Source organism: Homo sapiens, chromosome 7 (genome assembly GCF_000001405.40).
Source record: "Homo sapiens chromosome 7, GRCh38.p14 Primary Assembly".
Classification (NCBI taxonomy): domain Eukaryota; kingdom Metazoa; phylum Chordata; class Mammalia; order Primates; family Hominidae; genus Homo; species Homo sapiens.
In genome coordinates this window covers 48,707,880-48,729,691 of record NC_000007.14, presented here as the reverse complement: position 1 = coordinate 48,729,691, position 21,812 = coordinate 48,707,880, and the positions used below count along the sequence as shown (strand labels likewise).

The 21,812-nt window shown below is 37.6% G+C and overlaps 1 long non-coding RNA gene across 1 annotated transcript; it reads right to left on the bottom strand.

The window, feature by feature from the left end:
- Nucleotides 1-18,207: 18,207 nt before the first annotated feature.
- On the bottom strand, nt 18,208-21,189 carry LINC02838 (long intergenic non-protein coding RNA 2838). Its single transcript, NR_183322.1, has 3 exons — nt 20,989-21,189; nt 20,778-20,897; nt 18,208-18,535 (listed from the first exon to the last, which is right to left on the bottom strand). It is a non-coding gene; the product is annotated as a long intergenic non-protein coding RNA 2838 (long non-coding RNA).
- Nucleotides 21,190-21,812: the final 623 nt, after the last annotated feature.

The following is a 21,812-nucleotide window of genomic DNA, read 5'->3' as shown; positions in this document are numbered from 1 at the left end:
CCCAGTAGTCATTCAGGAGCAGGTTGTTCAGTTTCCATGTAGTTGAGTGGTTTTGAGTGAGTTTCTTAATCCTGAGTTCTAATTTGATTGCACTGTGGTCTGAGAGACAGTTTGTTATAATTTCTGTTCTTTTACATTTGCTGAGGAGTGCTTTACTTCCAACTATGTGGTCAATTTTGGAATAGGTGTGGTGTGGTGCTGAAAAGAATGTATATTCTGTTGATTTGGGGTGGAGAGTTCTGTAGATGTCTATTAGGTCCGCATTTGTTTACTTTCAGATTCACTTTGTACATTTCTATTGCTGTGCTCTGCAATTTAAGGGGTAGATGCATAAGAATTACGTTCCCCAGGTTTGTTGTCTACTGGTTTTAGGCAGGTTTGGTCAGTGGAGAGTAGGATGGTAGACTAGAAGCAGGAGGAAGAGAGAATCTCAGCTGTTCCTACTCTCTCCCTCCTCTTTGTATGGCACTCCTAGGTACATCTACTCAGTGAGTGCAAAAGTAATTGTGGTTTTTGCATTGTTGGAATTTGTCATTTGATATTGGAATACATTATTAAATAAATCTCTTTATGTTATACAACATTTTATTGGGCATTTCTCGCTGTATTATTTATTTATTTATTTATTTTTGCCAATTTCTTGTTTATTTTATGTTTATTTTAGACTATGGAAATAACGTCACACAAAAAGCGATTTCAAGTGATTTTCTTATTCTAATTCAAAATGGGTCCTAAAGCAGTGGAGACAACTCATAACATTAACAATGCTTTTGACACAGGAACTGCTAATGAACATACAGTGCCATGGTGGTTCAAGTTTTGCAAAGGAGATGAGAACCTTGAAGATGAGGAGTGTGGTGGACAGCCACCAGAACTTGACAATGACCAATTGAGAGCAATCATCGAAGCTGATCCTCTTACGACTATGCTAGAAGTTCCTGACAAACTCAACATCAACCATTCTAAGGTCATTCAGCATTTGAAGCAAATTGGAAAGGTAAAAATGTTCAATAAGTAGGTACCTCATGGGCTGAGCAAAAATCAAAAAAATTGTCGTTTTCAAGTGTCTTCTTCTCTTATGCTACACAACAACAACGAATCATTTCTCTATCAGATTGTGACAAGTGACAGAAAGTAGATTTTATATGACAACTGGTGATGACAAGCTCAGTGGTTGGACCAAGAAGAAGCTCCAAAGCACTTCCCAAATCAAAATTTACACCAAAAAAAAAAGGTCATGGCAACTGTTTGGTGGTCTGCTGCTGGTCTGATCCACTACAGCTTTCTGAATCCCAGCAAAACCATTACATCTGAGAAGTATGCTCAGGAAATTGATGAGGTGCACTGAAAACTGTAACACCTGTAGCCAGCATTGGTCAACAGAAAGGGCCCAATTCTCCACAACAACACCGACCGCATGTCGCACAACCAAGACTTCAAAAGTTGAATGAACTGGCTACAAAGTTTTGCCTCACTTGCCATATTCACCTGACCTCTCGCCAACTGACTACCACTTCTTCAAGCATCTCAACAACTTTTTGCAGGGAAAATGCTTCCACAGCCAATAGAATGCAGAAAATGCTTTCCTAGAGTTCATTGAATCCCAAAGCATGGATTTTTACACTACAGGAATAAACCAACTTACTTCTCATTGTCAAAAATGTGTTGATTGTAATGGTTCCTATTTTGATTAATAATGATGTGTTTGAGCTTAGTTATAATTATTGAAAATTCATAGTCCAAAACCACAATTGCTTTTGCACCAGCCTAATAGTTGTCCTCTGTGATTTAATCTCCTACTGGGATGTCTCTTTACTTCATCTCATCTTCCTCCAGGCAGCTTCTTCACAGCTCCAGCCCTCATCACCTATCCTTTCCACCATGCTTCTCTGTCCTACCAGGCAGTTCCAGCTCCTGTCATATAGTAACCCCATTTTTTCCCAGATGACCCTCTAGCCCTAACACAAAAATTTGTGTTATTATTTTGTAAGTTGTTAATCAGTCATTATTAATCTCTGAGATGCCTTACTTTCTCATTTTTATCTCTTTTGACAACTTCATAAGCAGTTCCTCACATTACATTTCCTCTCTTGGACTCCAGGAATAGATTTTTTGTTCTCTTAGCTTTACCTTGGCTGACAGCAGCTGGGTACCAAGAGTGAGCTCATGAAACAGACCTTTGAGATAAGATTTAAAAATTTGAAGGCTCACCAGTTTGACCTGAATTAATGATGACTTCATTGTTGTTGGAAAATGGGATGCTAAAAGTCAATACCCATGGACAACCTAACTAATGGAAGCGGTCTCTCTCTCAGTCTGGAGACAGGCTGTCTTGTGCTTAAAAACTTTGAGTAATAACGTCACCCAAGAAGGTGCCTCATAAAGAGGTTTCTATTATCCTCCAGTTAATGGAGAAAAACAAACTCTATACAATACCTTAAAGAGGTTTATTCTGAGCCATTATGAGTGACCATCACCTGGAGAAAGCACAAACCCAAGAAGCCTTGAATAAGTGATTCTGAGGCAGCTGGATTACTGGATAAGTTCAGGAAGGCAGGAGTTATAGGCAAAGACATAAATCAATACATGAAAGGTATACATTGATTTTGCCCGAAAAGGTGGAATATCTTGAAGTGGGGTCTTGCAAGTCATAGATGGATTGAGATTTGTTAATCTGAAATTGGTTAAAGGAACAAAGATTTGTCTAAAAACTTGGAGTTAACAGAAAGGAATGTTTAAGTTCAAATAAGGATGGTGTGTTAGAGTCAGCCGTAATATGACCTATTTAATAAGACTGATTGCCTGCAGGCAAGACTTAATGCTTGCCTTGCCTTGCCTTAGGTTTTGTTTATAATTTGATATTTTGTTGCCACAAAAGTCTTTTTTGTCAGTCTTGTAATATCTATTTTGACATTCATGCTGGTCAGTTGTGCCTAAACTCCAAAAGGGATGAGATAAAGGCATGTCTGACCTCTCTTCCCATCATGGCCAGTTATATGGTTTGACTGTGACCCCACCCAAATGTCATCTTGAACTGTAGCTCCCACATGTCATGGGAGGGACTCAGTGGAAGACAATTGAATCACAGGGGCAGGTTCCCCCATATTATACTCTTGGTAATGAATAAGTCTCATGAGATCTGATGGTTTTATAAGAGGAAACCCCTTTTGCTTGGCTCTCATTTTGTCTTTGCCAGCCACCATTAAGAAGTCCCTTTGCTCTTCCGTCACCTTCTTCCATGATTGTCAGGCCGCCCCAGCTGTGTGGAACTGTCAGTCAGTTAAACTTCTTTTCTTTATAAATTACCCAGTCTGGGTATGTCGTATTAGCAGCATGAAAACTGACTAATAAAGTAAATAGGTACTGATAGAGCAGGGCACTGCTATAAAGATACCTGAAAATATGGAAGTGACTTTGGAACTGGGTAACAGGCAGAGGTTGGAACAATCTGGAGGGCTCAGAAGACAGGAAAGTATGGGAAAGTTTGGAACTTCCTACAGATTTTTTGAATGGCTGTGACCAATATGCTGATAATGATATGGGCAATGAACTCCAGGCTGAGGTGGTCTCAGTTGGAGATGAGAAACTTGTTGAGAACTAGAGTAAAAGAGACTCTTGTTATGTTTTAGCAAAGAGACTGGTAGCATTTGGCCTCTGCCCTAGAGATTTGTGGAACTTTGAACTTGAGGGAGATGATTTAGGGTATCTGATGAAATAAATTTCTAAGCAGCAAAGCATTCAAGAGGTGACTTGGGTATTGTTAAAAGTATCCAGTTTTAAAAGGGAAACAAAGCATAAAATTTCAGCAAATTTGCAGCCTGCTGATGCAATAGAAAAGAGAAACCCATTTTCTGAGGAGAATTTCAAGCCAGCTACAGAAATTTGCATAAGTAACGAGAAGCCAAATGTTAATTGCCAAGACCATTGGGAAAATGTCTCCAGGGCATGTCAGAGGTCTACATGGCAGCCCCTCCTATTATAGGCCTGGAGGCCTAGGAGAAAAAAATGGGTTTGTGGGCTGGGCCGAGGGTCCCCCTGCTCTGTGCAGCCTAGGGACTTGGTGCCCTGCATCCCAGCCACTCCAGCCATGGCTAAATGGGGTCAAAGTACAGCTCGGGCTGTTGCTTCAGAGGGTGCAAGCTCAAGCATTTGCAGCTTCCACGTGGTATTGAGCATGCAGGTACATAGAAGTCAAAGATTGAGGTTTGGGAACCTCTGCCTCAATTTCAGAGGATGTATGGAAATGCCTGGATGCCCAGGCAGAAGTTTGCTGCAGGGGCAGGGCCCTTATAGAGAATCTCTGCCAGAGCAGTGTGGAAGGGAAATGTGGGGTCAGAGCCTCCACACAGAGTTCCTTCTGGGGCACTGCCTAGTGGAGTGGTGAGAAGAGGGCCACTATTCTCCAGACCCCAGAATGGTAGGTCCACCAACAGCTTGCACCATGTGCCTGGAAAATCAACAGACATTCAATGAGCACCCATGACACCAGCCAGGACGGAGGCTGCACCCTGCAAATCCACAGGGGCAGAGCTGGGCAAGACCATGGGAACCCACCTATTGCATCAGCGTGATGTGAGATGTGGAGTCAAAGGAGATCATTTTGGAGCTTTAAGATTTGACTGCCCTACTAGATTTTGGACTTGAGTGGGGCCTTTAGCCCCTTTCTTTTGGTTAATTTCTCCCACTTGGAACGGCTGTATTTACCCAACGCTTGTACCCCCATGTATCTAGGAAGTAACTAACTTGATTTTTATTTCACAGGCTCATAGGCGGAAGAGACTTGCCTTATCTCAGATGACACTTTGAACTATGGACTTCTGAGTTAATGCTGAAATGAGTTAAGAATTTGGGGGACTGTTGGGAAGGCATGATTGGTTTTGAAATGTGAGCACATGAGATTTTGGAGGGGCCAGGAGTGGAATGATATGGTTTGGCTGTGTCCCCACCCAAATCTCATCTTGAATTATAGCTCCCACAGTTCCCACATGGTATAGGAATAACCCAGTGGGAAATAACTGAATCATAAGGGCAGTTTCCCCCATACTGTTCTTGTGATAATGAATAAGTCTCACGAGATCTGATAGTTTTATAAGAGTGGCTTGGCTCTCATTTTCACTTGGCTCTTGTTCTCACTTGGCTCTCATTTTCTCTTTGCTGGCTGCTAAGTAAGATGTGCCTTTGCTCTTTCTTTGTCTTCTGCCATGACTGTGAGGGCACCCCAGCCATGTGGAACTGTGAGTCAATTAAACCTCTTTTCTTTATAAATTAACCAGTCTCAGGTATGTCTTTATCAGCAGTGTGAAAATAGACTAATACAGCCAGGAATTCAGTTTTTAAGGTTTTTCTGGGATTCCTATGGCCAAGAGGAAATCTGTTCAGTTGGTTGGGGGCTTAGGATTTTATTTTTAGTTTATAGGCTGATATAGTTTAAATATTTGTCCCCACCCAAATCTTATTGCTCTGTAATCCCCAATGCTGGAGATGAGGCCCCCTGAGAGATGTTTGGATCATGGGGGCAGATTCCTCATGGCATGGAGCTGTCTTCATGACAGTTAGTTTTCACAAGATCTTGTCATTTAAAGTTGTGTGGCACCTTCCCCCACCCAGCACCTTCTCCCTCTCCCTCTCTTTCACTTGCTCCTGCTTTTGCCATGTGATGTGCTGGTTTCCCCTTTGCCTTCCAACATTGCTGTAAGCTTCGTGAAGCATTCTTAGAAGCTGAGCAGATGCCAGCACCATGCTTTCCTGTAAATACTGCAGAACTGTGAGCCAATTACACTTCTTTACTTTATGAATTACCTAGTCTCAGGTATTCCTTTATAGCAATGCAAGAATTACCCAATACAAAAAAAAAATCATAATAGGACTAGGATATTGTTATAAAGATACCTGAAAATGTGAAAGTAGCTTTGAAACTGGTTAACAGGCAGAGATAGGAAGAGTCTGGAGGACTCAGCAGAAGACAGCAAGGTAAGAAAAATTTTGGGACTACTCAGAGACTATTTAAATGGCTGTGAGCAAAATGCTGATAGTGATATGGACAGTAAAATCCAGGCTGCCAAGGTCTCAGATGGAAATGAGAAACTCATAGGGACCTGGAGCAAAGGTCACATGTGTTAAGCCTTAGCAAAGAGCTTGGCTACATTGTGTTCATGCCCTAGGAATCTGTGGAAGTTTGAACTGAAGAGTGATAACCTAGGGGCTGAAAGAAATTTCTAAGCAGCAAAGCATTCAAGATGTGGTCTGGACGCTTCCAACAACCTACCCTCAGATGCAGGAGCAAATAAGTGACCTAAAGCTGCAATTTATTTTAGAAAAGAAGCAGAGTGTAAAAGTTTGGTAAATTTGCAGCCTGGTCATGGGGCAGAGAAAGAAAAAGCTCTTTTGGGAGAGGAATTCAAGCAAGCTGTGGAGCAACCTCTTGCTGGAGATATTTCCATAACTAAAATGGAGTCAAATGCTAATATCCAAGACAATGAGGAAAAGGCCTGGAAGGCATTTCATAGACCTTCTAGGCAGCCCTCTCATGACAGGCCCATAGGCCTAGGAGAAAATGATAGTTTAGTGGGACAGGCCCAGGGCACCACTGCCCTGCAAAGCCTTGAAATAATACTCCCCACTTCCTCGCTGTGTCAGCTCCAGTCTTGGCTCAAAGGTGCCCAGGTACAGCTACAGCTTGGGCTGCCACTCCAGAGGGCAAAAACTATGAGCCTTAGTGGTTTCCATGTGGTGTTAAGCCTAAGGGTGCAAAGAGTGCAAGAATGAATGAGGCTTGACACCCTCCACCTAGATTTCAGAGGATGTATGGAAAACTATGGGTGCCCAGGCAGAAGCCTGCTATGAGGTGAGCCCCCACAGAGAACCTCTATTAGGACAGTGCAGAGGGAAATTGTGGAGTCAGAGCCCCCACATAGAATCCTTGAGGGGCACTGCATAGTGGAGCTATAAGAAAGGGGTCACCATTCTCCAGATTTCAGAGTGGTAGAGCCCTGGCAGCTTGCACCCCGTGCCTGGAAAAGTCACAAGGCACCCAACAACCTGTAAAAGCAACCATGGGGGCTGCACCTTGCAAAGCCACAGAAGCGGGGCTACCCAAGGCCTTGGGAGCCCCCCCACCCCCACCTTGCTCCAGTGTGCCCTGGATATGGGATATGAAAAAAGTAGATTATTTTGAAACTTTAAGATTTAGTAACTGCCCTGCTGGGTTTTGAACTTGCATGGGGCCTGTAGCACCTTTCTTTTGGCTTATGTCTCCTTTTTGAAATAAAAATGTTTACCCAATTCCTATATGCGCATTGTACCTTGGAAGTAACTAACTTGTTTTTTATTTTACAGGCTCATAGGTGAAAGGGATTTGCTTTGTCTCAGATGAGACTTTGGACTTTTCAGTTAACGCTTTCCATTAATGAGTTAAGACTATGAGGGTCAGTGGGGAAGGCATGACTATATTTTGCAATGTGAGAAGGACGTGGGATTTGGGAGGGGGCAGGGGTGGAATGTTACAGTTTGGATATTAAACCCTGTCCAAATCTCATGTTGAATTGTAATTCCAAGTGAGGCCTGGTGGAAAGTGTTTGGATCATGGGGGTGGATCCTTCATGGCTTAGTGCTGTCTTCATAATAATGAGTCCTCACGAGAGATCTGGTCTTTTAAAAGTGTGTGGCACCCCCCCCACCCACCTGCTGACTTGTTCCTGTTTTTGCCATGTGAGGTACCAGCTAATGACTGTAAGCTTCCAGAGGCCTCTCCTTAGAAGCTGAGCAGATGCCAGTCTCATGTTTCCTGTAAAGACTGCAGAACTGTAAACCAATTAAACCTCTTTTTAAAACAAATTTACCAGTCCCAGGTATTTCTTATAGCAATGCAAGAAAAGCCTCATACACATGCCACAGTTAACCCTTCCATTTCGTATAGCTTCCAACTTATAATGAGAATTAGACAACAACATTCTTTCAGGAGAAAAATACAAAGTCCCATAAGAAAAGATTGACAAGAGCCTGTGGGCCATGTGTGGGAATAACCCTGGGGTAACTGGATGGAGGATGACATAAGTGCTTGATCTGGCTCAATTTGTCATTACAGGTACACTTTCTCAAGATTTAGGATTTAATATACTAGCTTATTTTTATGTTATTATAAACGTTTTTCTATTGAGATCAAGAGGATATACTTACAACTGTTACAGTTCTCATTTCGGCATCCAGTCACGAGGTCATAGCTAATATGTATAACTATATTCTTCAGCTCACCATTCATATTTCCTTTTCCCAAAGCAAACACCTTGGCTGGTCATCATTTCTTGTCTGATGCGGTCACCCAATTTTTCACATTTGAAGGATCTGGGCTATTAGATGTTTTGTCTGAAAGATGCTCCATTTTTTTCACTCATGTTAATTATAGCACATAGGAATACTAAGAAGTGACCTAGGGGATCACCTTTATTTTGGACATATTCTTTCTCACCTCAGCAGTGTAGCAGAAACCTAATTTCTCCTTGATACCTAGTGTCAATCACCCTAGTCAGCCCAGTACCTCCTCCTTTGTCTGTTGATTCACAAGCAGGAGAAACCTAAGCGGCCAGGTGTCGGTCTTAACTGCTAGTTTAATGGAATCGTTGTTGTGTCCCCTAATGGAAGCATTTCTTCTTTTGTAACTTAAACTAATCCAGCATGTCTTATCATCATAATGTTATCAATGTAATGGACCAACATTATGTCTTATCGAAGAAAAGGCAACTAAATTATGAATAAGGCAGAAGAGTTGATCTACTCCTCAGATAGGCCCATGAAGACATGGCTAGCTGAAAAGAAAATTTCTTCTGGTGATGTTTCTCAGCAGATATATAGAGAAAAAAAAATCACAGGATACAGAACAGTGTGTCAGATACCAGAGGCTGCATTACTTTTCTAACACAGCAAAACCACATCTGGAATAGCAACTGCTATTTTCTTCAATCATTTCCCAAGATTCACCTGCAAGTTGAATTGGGATGTGGTAGAAATCACTGTCTCTGCATCTTTCAAGACCTAGACAGTGACACTAATCTCTGCAATCCCTCCAGGAATGTGATATTGGTTTTCATTTACTATTTTGTGGTTAGAGGCAAGTGGAAGCCACTACATATATAAGTAAAATGAATTACATACCCACAGATAGTGGTCATTATTATGAAAAAAGAAACTGATGACTTTAAAGGAATCAGAAAAGTCTTTAATTATTTCTTAATTAAACCTAGTGTTTTGAAACAATGTTCAAAAATATTATCTCAAATTGATATAAAATATGGACTAAAAAGCTGCCACTAACCTCAATGTTTTTGGTGTTCGGAACAGATTTCTCATTTAAATAGAATCATGATATCATGATCACAGCTCATTAAAGAATAATTCTCTAAATACTCAGTCCACATTCAAATTTGTCCAATTCTACAGAATCCTCAGGATAGAATCCAGGCATCAGTAGTTTTTAAAGCTGAAGGGTGATCTCTATAGGCAACCAAGGTTGAGCAATACTGCTCTAGCCCATGTATTTCCTGAATGAAATTTAGGTCTAAAAATTTGATTCAATTTAGTTAAAACATTTGTTGCAAGAGTAATTTCCAAGTGAAGTTATCCTTCCTACTGTATCATATGCAGAAGCAACTATTATTCAGATATAGCACTAGTAGTAACATTAATCTCTCAATTAAAATATATTTTTTTCTTTTTTGCAATGATCAAGCTATTTGCACACATTTTATTTGCTTTTTACACTAAAAGAATTCTATTCACCAGAAACTTTTATGAATTAGTAACCATGGGTACTTTCTGACTTAATTTAATATTTTATGAATATTAAAAAATGATGGTATTTCTGATTTTTTCTTCTACATTTATGATCTAAAATTATTCTCTAAAACATGAACTTAACTTCAAAGTTTTAAAAATTATCATGTCAATATTACTACTTACAATAATATAAGTAAATTTTAAAACTTTTTTGTAGTTTTTTAATTTTTCTATAGGATATAAACACTGAAAAAGTGTATATGGTCAGGTCACTATATTTAAACTTACTACTTAAAATATTATATATTCATTTCACCATATTAATATGTAGGTTCATTTGTTTCTGTTTTCAATTTCGAGGTGTGCTTTTTAACTAAATTTTGCTTTTTGAACATGGAAAATATTTACAGAAGTCCAAACTATATAAAAAAGTATATTCAGTAAAATGTTGCTTTCATCCCTGTATTTTTTTATCCAATTCTCCTTGCCTATGAGATAACCATTTGTATTAGATTATGGTTGATTCTTTGAGTGTATCTCTTTTTTTTTCAAAATTAGGCAAATAATTGATTTCAAAGATTACTCCCTGTGATGGTTTATTTTAGGTATCGACTTAACTGAATTAAGGGATATCCAGATAGCTTAGAAAGCATTACTTCTGGGTGTGTCTGTGACTGTTTCCAGAATAGATTGTCATTTAAACAAACAGAGTGACTGAGAAAGACCTGCCTTTATCCAATGTGGGCAGGCATCATCCAATTGGCTGCAAGCCCAGATGGAACAGAAAGGCACAAAGAAGGTGAATTCTCTCCCTCTCTCCTGAAACTGGGACACCCAGCTTCTATCCTTGGGCATCAGAACTCCAGGTTCAACAGCCTTTGGACCCTGGGACTTGTACCAGAGGCTCCCCAGCTTCCCGGCTTCTTCTCAGGCCTTCAGACATGGACTCAGTGTGCTACTGGCTTTCCTCATTCTCCAGTTTGCAGATGACCTATTGTGAAACTTCTCAGCCTCCATAATCATGTGAGTCATCTCTCCTAACAAGTCCTCTCTCAAATGTCTGTATCATTTTTATGATATATATATATTTACATATCCTATTGTTTCCATTTATCTGGAGAACCCTAATATATTACTATATACTTACTATATAGTAAGTATATACTTACTATATACTTACTATATACTTACTATATAGTAAGTATATACTTACTATATACTTACTATATAGATTTCTTCATTGCTTTTTCTTTTTAATTATGGCACACTGATAGTTCAGTCAATTATCAATTTTTATATAGAGAACATTTAAAAAATTAACAGTCTTTGCTCCAATGGAAAAGGCTGTTGTTGGCCAGCAATGGCTAGCATGGGGGCAGCAGAATGGATTCTGTCTTAAGTTTGAGGTTTATCTACTTTTCTTTACACAATGCTGTTTTCTTGTGAACTTTTGAACACTCAAAAGTCAGGAATTACATATAGGCTCATTTTACAATCAAAAGACAAGTGGATAAAATATTATTCATATTACATTTAAGTGGCGAAAACAGCTATTTTAAAAAAAAATTGTTACCAAAAAAAAAAAAGGAAAAATGTCATGAAAGAGGAGGGCTGGGTGAAACCAAGATATTCCATCCTATATATGGAGTCAACACACATATCCCAGAGAAAGTGATGTTTAAGTTGAGGTTTGGTGCATGGTTAGGACAAAGCCAGGAGGACAGGTTCGGTCAAATATGTTTGGAGCATGGAACAGCCTAGAAAAAATGTCATTTCCAAAAAGAGATTGGAAACATATGGGAAATTAGTAGAAACACAATTGTGATAGAGCCCTAGTGAGCTGATAATTCTCTCCAAAATTATTCTTTCTTCTCTTGATTTTGTTAATCTCATTCCTAGAATCCCAGCACTCAACTGAAAAATAGCATCATCTTCAGCTGCGCCTTGTTCAAACCCCCTACATCTACAACCCTGAGGTCATCTTTTTTTTGTCTGTCTCCTCCTCTCCATTCTGTTTGATACTCTGTAATGCAGAAATTGGTAACCACTCATCCATCCTACAAGTGCCCCCATATTCAAATATATATATATTACATAAGGTATCTTTATATTTCTAGTTCAATTCTTTGAATTTCCTGTTAAATTCAAACATTATTATCACAGCCACATTTTATCTCAAAGTGGTCCTTTTGGCACAGATAGTCTTTGAGTATCTTTTACCCCTCATCCTTTTCCATGATCTCCAAAGCTAAGCTCCGGGGTGCTCACTGTGATAGAATATATTATTTTCTAAAGTCTTCGCTCCTCTATGTATTTTGTACCCTTTGACATGTAACTTTGCAGTCTCTCCCACTAAAGGAGAGGAAGACTAGAGGCATAAACAGAGCCATAGCAACTGGTGCACAGTTCCAGAAGAATGACAATAGCGAACCACACAGTGATGGATTAACATTGCTCAAAGGGCAGCTTGGGCCTGGCTCAGCTTCTGGAAGTACCACTAAGCCCTTGGAATGTCCTTTTGGGAAAAGTCAGCATCTTGTCTTGCTTTATAGTACAGTATAGTATAGTATAGTATAGTATAGTATAGTATAGTATAGTATTTATAGTGAAGTCTATTAGGTCCTAAGAACTTTCTTCTTCAGATATACATATCTAGACACCTTCTTCAGCCATCCCTCCTACTCCCACACCCTTATGAAAAATCATGACTCTTCTGAAAATGAGACTTCTGAGAACATGCACCTTCTCCAGATGATGCTCCAGTAGACAGGGCAAGAGTCTGACTTTTACCAAATCTGTCTGACATTTGGTTCATGTAACTGACTTCTGCCAAAACTATCTGGCTTTTTTCTTATAGATTGTATCCTTGTTGTGAAGCAATGACTGCCTTAACTTTAGTAGATGGAGATCTGTTGTGAAATTTAAAATACATTGCATTTTCAATTTCACAACAACAATCTCTGCTCTGATATCTTCCACTGGCTTTGCCACTTACTCTCTGTGAGACCTTGGGTAACCTACTTAACCACCCTGGCCTTGGTCACCTATAAGAGAGGACAAATAACAGTGAGTAACATAAAGCGTTGTTGTGAGTTCAGTGCATAAGCATATAAAATGTACCTAGGATAAAGCTTGGAATATTACTATAATATTGTAAGTATTCAATAAAAACCAGCCATAATAATTATTACTACTCTCATATAATTATTATTAACTTTCTTAGATGCGAGTTAAGCTCCCTAAGGTTCCATTTTGGCTCATCTCTTTTACCAAGTGCATCTGTGCTCTTCACAGTGCTTAGAACATTTCGAATAAGATATTTTATATAGTATTAAAACTTCATCTGAGGCCCTAAAACAGAGAATAAAAGGTGCTAATTTCTCAAAAATTCTAGGGAGATTCCAAACCAACTATATAGAGCATATTAAGTTTCTCCACTATCCCAGAACCAAACTTCAGTGATGAGAATTCAGGGCTGAATTCTGCTACCAGCAGTAACAAAGTCATTGCTGTTTGACTAACCTGCCCATCTATAATAACAAGAAAGCTGAAACAATTGCAGGAATAGTTGTTTAAAAGCATCAGAAAAAAACTAACACAGATATACATCAAAGGACCAAAGTCCCAGAAAAAAGAGAAAGACATGAGATAAATATTAGACTAACACCAGGTTTTTTCTCTGAGGACACTTGTAGACTTTCAGATCAGGAGAGAATCTGAACAAAAAAACGTGAATGACAGCATCTGGCAGTCTCTCTGGCCCACACACACTTAAACTGATGTTGAATGTTACCACAGCATCCAGGACTTAAGGGCTTGGGATCAAAATGAAATGGAAATTTCATGGAGACGAGCTGTCAACACTTTGCACGCAATTCCCCTCAATACTGATTCCTAAATTGCACACACAACAGGGCAAGAATCTGCAAAATTAAGCATCAAGTGGCTTCAACAGAGTAAAAAGCTAAGCAGATATTTCAGAACTTTGGTGATTCTGGGAAGATAAAAAATACAGTTCTGGGCTTGCCAAAGAGGAGAGGCCCTGAGACATAACTCAGGCTTTTTCATGGGACTCTGGAAAGGATATACTATAGCAGTAAAGGTGAACTGAAAGTAAATATCTGATTATACTCTATATGACTAAAAGTATAAATTAAATTCTTTTCTATAGAGCAAAGAAATTTAATTCAGAATTTCTACAAATCATCCTGTACTATATTGAGATTTACCAAGTATGCCAAGAAGTAAGAACAAATAACTAAAACCCGAGAGACTATAAGACATCAGAAGCAGACCAATAGGTGATCTATATATCGGAGTCTATGAATACTTAAATTATTATTATATATTCAATTAAAGGGATGAAAAAATGAAAATTTCACCAGAGAATTAAAATATATAAAATAATAAAACAGAAATTCTAGATATTAAAAGCAATATAAGTGATAGTAAGGATTAATGACAAAAAGTTTCAATATAGATAGGTGAATACACATTAGATGCAGCAGGAAAGAAGATTCATGAACTGAAGATGATTAAGCATAAAACATCCATATTGAACCAAAGAAAGACAAAGAGGAAAATAACAAAAAGAGTAGACACATATGAAGCACAGAGAAAAGGTCTAATATATGTGTAATTAGCATCTGAAATCAGAGAGTAAAGAGAATGGGGAAGGAGCAATATTTGAAGAGATGTTTAGCAAAGGATTTTCTAAAAATGATAAAAAATAATAAACAGATTGTTCTGCAAACCTCACACAAGACAAATGAAAAAATTTCTGACACCATCACATACCATATGCAAACTACTAAAAAATAGAGACAAAGATAAAATTGTCGAAGTAATCATTGAACAATGTGTACACCTTCAAAAAGGCAACAGTAAAACTGACAAGCTAACATTTCAAAAGATGTGATGGAAAAAATGAGGCAATATAATGACATTTATTTTTAATGAGGAAAGGATAGCTGACCATGTAGAAATTTTCATCCAGTGAAAATCTCCTCCAAAAGTGAAGGGGAAAAAAAGAGATGTTTTCAGGCAATCACTAAAAAATTCATTATGATAAAAATGACACTAAAGAAATTACTAAAGGAAGCTCTTGCAGAAAAATGATCCATGATTATTTTCCCAGGAAATTATTTTCCCAGTAAAATAGAATAAGCAGTAGTAGTAAAAAGGGTGAATATGTGAGTAAATGTACATAACGCTTGGCTGTTTAAAACAGTATTAATATTATCTGGTGGATTTAAAATATGTAAAATTAAAATATTTTACTGAAGCAATATGAGAGAAAAGGAGTCTCAATGCAGTTAAAATGTTTTAAAGTCTTTTTATGATTCACAGAGCAGTAAAGACACTGATTTAAGGTAGAATACAATGGAACACTTTCCAATAGAAATACGATGTAAATCATACATGTGAAGTCAGAAATTTTAATAGCTACACTAAAAATTTTTTAGAGAATGAAAAATTTAGAGAATGAAATTAATTTTAATAACATATTTTATTTAATTCTCTATCTCGAATGTTATTTTAATAGATACAAAAATTAATACTGGATATTATGTATTATTTTGTCAGTGTTAAATACTTGAAATCCAGTGTGTATTTTACATCTGCAGCACAATTCAATCTAGCACATTTCAAGTGCTCCAAAATCACATGTAGCCAGTGGCTGCCAGGTTGCACAATAGCACTCAACTATATCAGGGATGCAAATAGTAATTGTGAAGGTAAGTACTAATAAAAATAAGAATTAATAATAATGATTAACAGGCTAACAGATTGAAAAAATATGAAGGAATAAAATATATTTACTTCATACAAACATGCAAGAAAAGGATTGATCAAATAAAAGATGACAAATAGAAAGCATGGCAAGATTGGTGATTTAGACTTAACTGTACTTAGATTTATATTAAGTCAAATAATATAAATAGACTAAAAACTCTAATCAAAAGACAAATAATGTCAATTTGGTGAAATATACAACCAAACTTCAAGCTGCCTACAAGAGAAACAAATTCATTATAAAGAGATAGGAAGTTTTAAAGTACACTGGAAAAACATATACGAGGCAAACACTAACCAGTGAATGCTAGTGCTCCAAGAATATAAAAAGTATAAGGCAAGAATCATTAGTAAAGATTGAAACATATTTTAAAATGATAAATAGATCAATTCAACAAGAAATATAACATTTCTAAATGTGTTACTTCTTCGAATTTAGCGGGAGTTGAAGGAGGCATGTGGTCTGGACAACATGGTATAGACTTGGCTTTCCCTGCTTCTCCCCTCTAGGTCTAACTATAAATCCTGGAAATAGTGCAAGATGCAACAAAAGGCGTATTCTGAAAGATGGGAGGACAAAGGTGAGTTTGTTAGGGACTGAGGACTGAAAGAACAAGACATGGTGGGGTGTCCAATCTTGGAGACAACTTTGGTCTCACAGGTCTGAAACTCCCCTTGCCCTCAGGAGACAGCAGGCAGCCAGACAGTATTGGAAAGGGCAAGGGGATCCCTCCATAACAAGCACTCTGGTAAGCAATTTCTATCCCCACAAGGCATGAAAATCTCTTCTGTCACTTGAGGGACACTGGGTGGTCAGAAAGTACAGGCAAATGGGATCCTGCCTCAACAAGCCACCTGGCTTGGGAAGACTTGTTGTCCCTCCATGGTGGAGAATCACTTCCGCCACCTGGAGAGACCATATGCCCCGTCCTGAGAAAGAACTTTCTGCCCCCTCGGGATGCCAGCAAGGTCCAACAGGAGCCCCAGACACACCATATAAACCAAGTAGAACAAAATACTACTACAAAGGCTCATCTAAGATTTATTTGCATGCTAAATCTAAACAGAAAGCATACCTGCTGAAACAGGAAATTTAAACAGGATCCAGAATCTCATAATAGATATAACAGGCATGCACAGAATACAATTGAAAATCACCTATCTTACCAAGAACCAAGAAAATCACAACCTGAGAAACACAATCAACTGAAGCCAACACTGAAATGATACAGATGTTGGAAATATCTGATGAGGACTTTAAAGCAGCTATCATAAAATTGAATTAATAAGCAATTATAAACTCTCTTGAAACAAATACTAGCAAATCTCAGCAGAAAAATAGAAGTTACTCAAAGAAGACCAAATCAAATTTACCCAGGTATGAATAATATAATAAAAATTAAAAAAACTTGCCAGATGGGCTTCCTAGTAGAACAGAGATGACAGAGAATAGAATCCATGGACCTGAGGACTAATCACTAAAATTTACCCAGTCTGAATAACAGATAGCAAACAGAACCCCCCGCCCCGCGCCCCCCCAAAAAATTGATCAGAGCCTTAGGGATACAGAAAAGTAAAATATTCAACATTTCTACTTAAAGAAATAATGGATAAAAACTTCTTAAAGTTAGCAAAATATATAAACTTTACAAATTTAAATATCTAAATGAATCCCAAATAGAATAAATCCAAAGAAATCTGTATCAAGAAACATCATAATTAATCTTCTGAAAATTAATGACAAAGAAAAGGCTTGAATGTAGCTGGAGAAACTATGTTATCTACAAGAGAACCCCAATTCAAATGGCAGTGAGTTTTTCATCCAAAACCTTGGAAACCAAAAGAAAATGACACAAAACTTTCAAATGATATTTAAGGAAAAAAAACTGAACCACAGATTCTATAACTGGTGAAATTATCCTTAAGGTAAGAAGATGAAATAGAGACCATCTTGGACATAAGAAAACTAAAAGGATATGTAGGATATGTCACTAGTAGACCTACTCTTAAAGCCTGGCTAAAGGAAGGTCTTAAAACAGAAAGGAAATAATAAAGGAAAAAGATCTTAGAGATCAGAAAGAAATAAAAAACTGGACATGGAATATAGATACATAATAATATATTATTTTCTTTATGAATTCTATAAACCATATTTTATTAGTGAAATAAAAATTATTACATTATCTTGTACTCCAGATAATGATATTGAAAAATGAGGACGGTAAAGAGACCTAAGTGGAAATAAACTTTCACAGGACTCACCATTGATACCAATAGACTATGACAAGTCACATGTTAGGTATACTGTGAAACCTACAACAACATTAAACTGTACAAAGAGTTGAACTCTGAAACACTGTAAATAAAGACAGAATTCTTAAAACTGTTCAAGTAACCCACTTGAAACAGAAGAACAAAATGCAAATCAAACAAACAGAAAACAATAAAATGGCAAATTTAATCCGTTAGAAATCAAAGTGTTACTGATTTTAAAATGGGTTCTTTTTCTATGCAGTGATGAGAAGACAATGCATGAAACCAAAAGTGAGCATCAAGCAGTGCAGGCTTTATTCAATGGCCATGGACTTAAGAAGTGGGAGCTTGACTCACAGATTAACTTCTCAATTAATGAGAGACAGGAAGTCACAGATATGGGACATCTTTAATGAAGGGTTTGGGCATTAAAAACAAGGGGAGGAGTATTCTTGTCTTTTCTGGGAATGGGTGGAGAATTCCTCAGAACCGGAGTTGTGGTCTTCCTTTTTGTCCTTTCATAATTTCTTCTGGTCATTGTCATGGTGATTATAAACTGTCATGGCACTGGTGGGAGTGTCATTTAGTATGGAAAATAAATTATAATGAAGTTGGAGGTTCTTCAAAGGCGAAGTGAGCTGGATCTTGAATCTCATCAGTCTTAACTGGTTTGGTCACCAGGGGGAACTTCTGACCTCAGACATCCTGTCTCCTAAAGCTAAGCAGAGTTAAGATCAGGTAGAAATTCAGCTAGGTCACAGAGGCATTACAATGGGTAACAAGATTTTCAGAGTGTGTAAACAAACAGAATTCAATGATATGCTATTTATAAGAAATTCACCTTAAATTCAATAACATAAGTAGCTTGAAAGTAAAATAAAAGACAAAAATAGATTACACAAATGTTAATCTAATAGAAACCAGGTGCCTTAATTGAACATTTTGACTTTGAAACCCCTCTGTTGCATTTATAATTGAAATATGTTCTAACAGGTTGATATAATAAAGATTGTAGTAATTGTATTTATCTGCTTAAACATTCAAATGTTTCTTCCTTTTTTGGTTCTATTTAAGGGGAGACAAAAATTATATACCTACTAACTTAGTCATATTTGTTAAGTGTCAAAAATTATGTCAAGGGCAGTCCTAGAAAACCTGTTGGTAGTTTATCAGGGCTCCACAGACTTGTTTATAATTAACAATGTTATGAACGTTATGTACCATAGGAAGACAGGAATGGATACTATTATTAACTTTTGTAGAGAAATAGAAAAAAAGGTCCCCGAAAATACATTTGTCTCCAATTACATAATTTCTGAGACTTAAAACTTTTCCTACTTACTACTAAAACTAAGGTAAACTTGGAAAAAAAATGATGAAAAAAACTTTAAAAGAGTAGACAAATTTCTAATTTCATGTTTAAGTAACATTCTCGGTAAATGACAGTAAGTGACAGTAAGTAAATCAGAAAGAATATAAAATATTAGAACAATATAATTAATAAATTAATATAATTAGCACACACGAAACCTTTTATTTTATTATTATTATTTTTTTTTAGAGAGAGTCTCACTCTGTCACCCAGGTTAGGATACAGTGGTGTGAACATGGCTCACTGCAGCCTTGACCTCCTGGGCTCAAGCAATCCTCTTGCCTCAGCCTTCCCAGTAGCTGGTGGGGACCCAGGTGAGTGCCACCATGGCTGATTAATTTTGGTATTTTTGTAGAGATGCAGTCTTGCCGTGTTCCCCAGGCTGGTCTCAAACTCCTAGGCTCAAGCAATCCTGCTGCCTCAATTTGGGAGAAATTGTTGGGATTACAAATGTGAGCCACCGCACTCAGCCCACACACATATAAAACTTGAACGCAGATCAAGAGAAGACAATTTTTTTCCATGTGAATGTGTACTAAAATTGATTAAATTCTAAGCTATAACAGAAGTCTTAAAAAATAAGATATGTTAATCTGATCATATGGAAATTAACTTAAAATATTGTCAAACCAAATAACACTAGAAATGTTTAAAACGATTAAGATGAGAATGATTCACAAAATAATAACTTAAAGAAATTCAAATCTTTGGAAATTAAGCAATAAAGTATTAAATATTCCATGGTTCAAAAAAGAAATCAAAATAAAAGAATTTGTTTTAATTTCAATGAAAATTTAGAATTTGGCATGTCAAAAATTATAGAATGGTTCTAAAGCCCTGCTTTTAAAAAGCTGATAGACTTCAGTGGATATATTATTTTAAGAAAAGAAAGAATAAAAATCAAAAATTTAAGTTCAACAAATGAATTTATGTGATCATCTGATTTATGAAAAGGTGACATTGTAATGCCAGGAGGCATACTCCAGGAACAGTGCTGGGTCAGCCAGATATTCCTGAAGAACAAAATGAATCTTTCACATCTACTTCACCATTCACGTATGCCATACTTTTCACGTCACACACACACACACACACACACACACACACACACACACAGAAAAACAACTCTGATGTACCACTAAGTAAACGTGAAAATTAAAACAATACAGGTTCTGGATGGTATCATAGGAAAATGTCTACATTGTCTTGTAGTTGGCAAGGTTTTCTTAAATTGCACACAAAAAGCACCAATCATAAAGCAAAATATTGATACACTGGAATTTGCTAAATCATTAATTACTCTTCATCAGAAGATACTGTAAGACAGTGAATACGCAAGCCACGAAGTAGAAAAAAAAAATTGGAAATGCATGCATCTTACAAAGGATTTATATCCTTTATAAAACAAAATTTCTACAATTCAACAAGGAAAACAAAGGCCTGCCAAAAAAATATGGGAGGAAAACATTGTCATTTGACAAGACATCAGATGGCTGATTTAACCATATTAATGTGGATGAGGTATGGTGAAGCCAGAGGAAGATCAAAAGAGAAGCTTGAAAGAGTTTTACAGTTTTGTTATACTCACAGTTCCCTGGGGAGAACACAGCGTGCCATGCCACAGGGGGCCACTCGTGGGAGCACCAGCGTCAGAGTTGAGCCAGAGGGATAAAGGGCAGCAGTAGGCGAAAACCTTTTTTTGTGGTTTCTGCAGGAATGAAAGGGTTAGGCAGGGCAAACAGGCTTAGGCTTGATGACTTGAAATAATTTCAGTGGGCTTGTTCCTGGTTGTCTGGTACCTGGCTCCGAGGCACATATGGCGACTGAATAGCGGCCAAGGGTCTGAGAGACAAACAAGGAGGTAATTGAGGATCGGACTTAATTGACCCCACAAGAAAAGGGCCTGACTCCTCTCCAGCCGGGGCCTCTAAACTAAGTCAACATAGTGCAAGACAGATCTCCATGTGGCCTTAGACTATCCCAGTTCTCTCTCATTTCTTGTCTATAGTTCTCAAGAATAACTATAGAATGTGCTAACAATGCAACATTCTGAGATAAAGAGGGGCTCTCCAGAGCAGCCCAAGTTCTGTTCCAATCTCTCCTAGAATTGGATGTCTGGCGATGTTTGACAAACAGGAGAACTGTTTCCAAGGTTCCTGAGCTACAGTGCAAGTGCGGCATGCGCAAACGAGACTATGTCCTGGCAGCTTTCCTGAGCCTCTGGGATCAGGCTGTCATGAATCTTAGGCCTCTGTTGTCTCTTTCTAGTTGTCTATAGGTAATAAATCTACTGCATGTAACCTGTGTTTGTAAGTATCCTGAACTTGTGCAAGGAGTAGAAATTGCAGCCCATGATGCTTTGGAATGAAATGATAACCATTGCATGGCGAACCTGCTTTGCTGGCATAATAATAATAAAAAACGCTATATTACTATGGCCAATAAGCATTTGAAATGGTGCTCAACATTATTGTCAGAAAAATGTTATTCAAACCACAATGTGATAATATTACCTACCCACCATAAGAATTAACATTTATAAAAAGTGGCAATCTCAACTGTAGAGACAATGTGGGACAATGAAATTTTCTGATACTCTTAGTAGGAACATAAATTAGCGCAT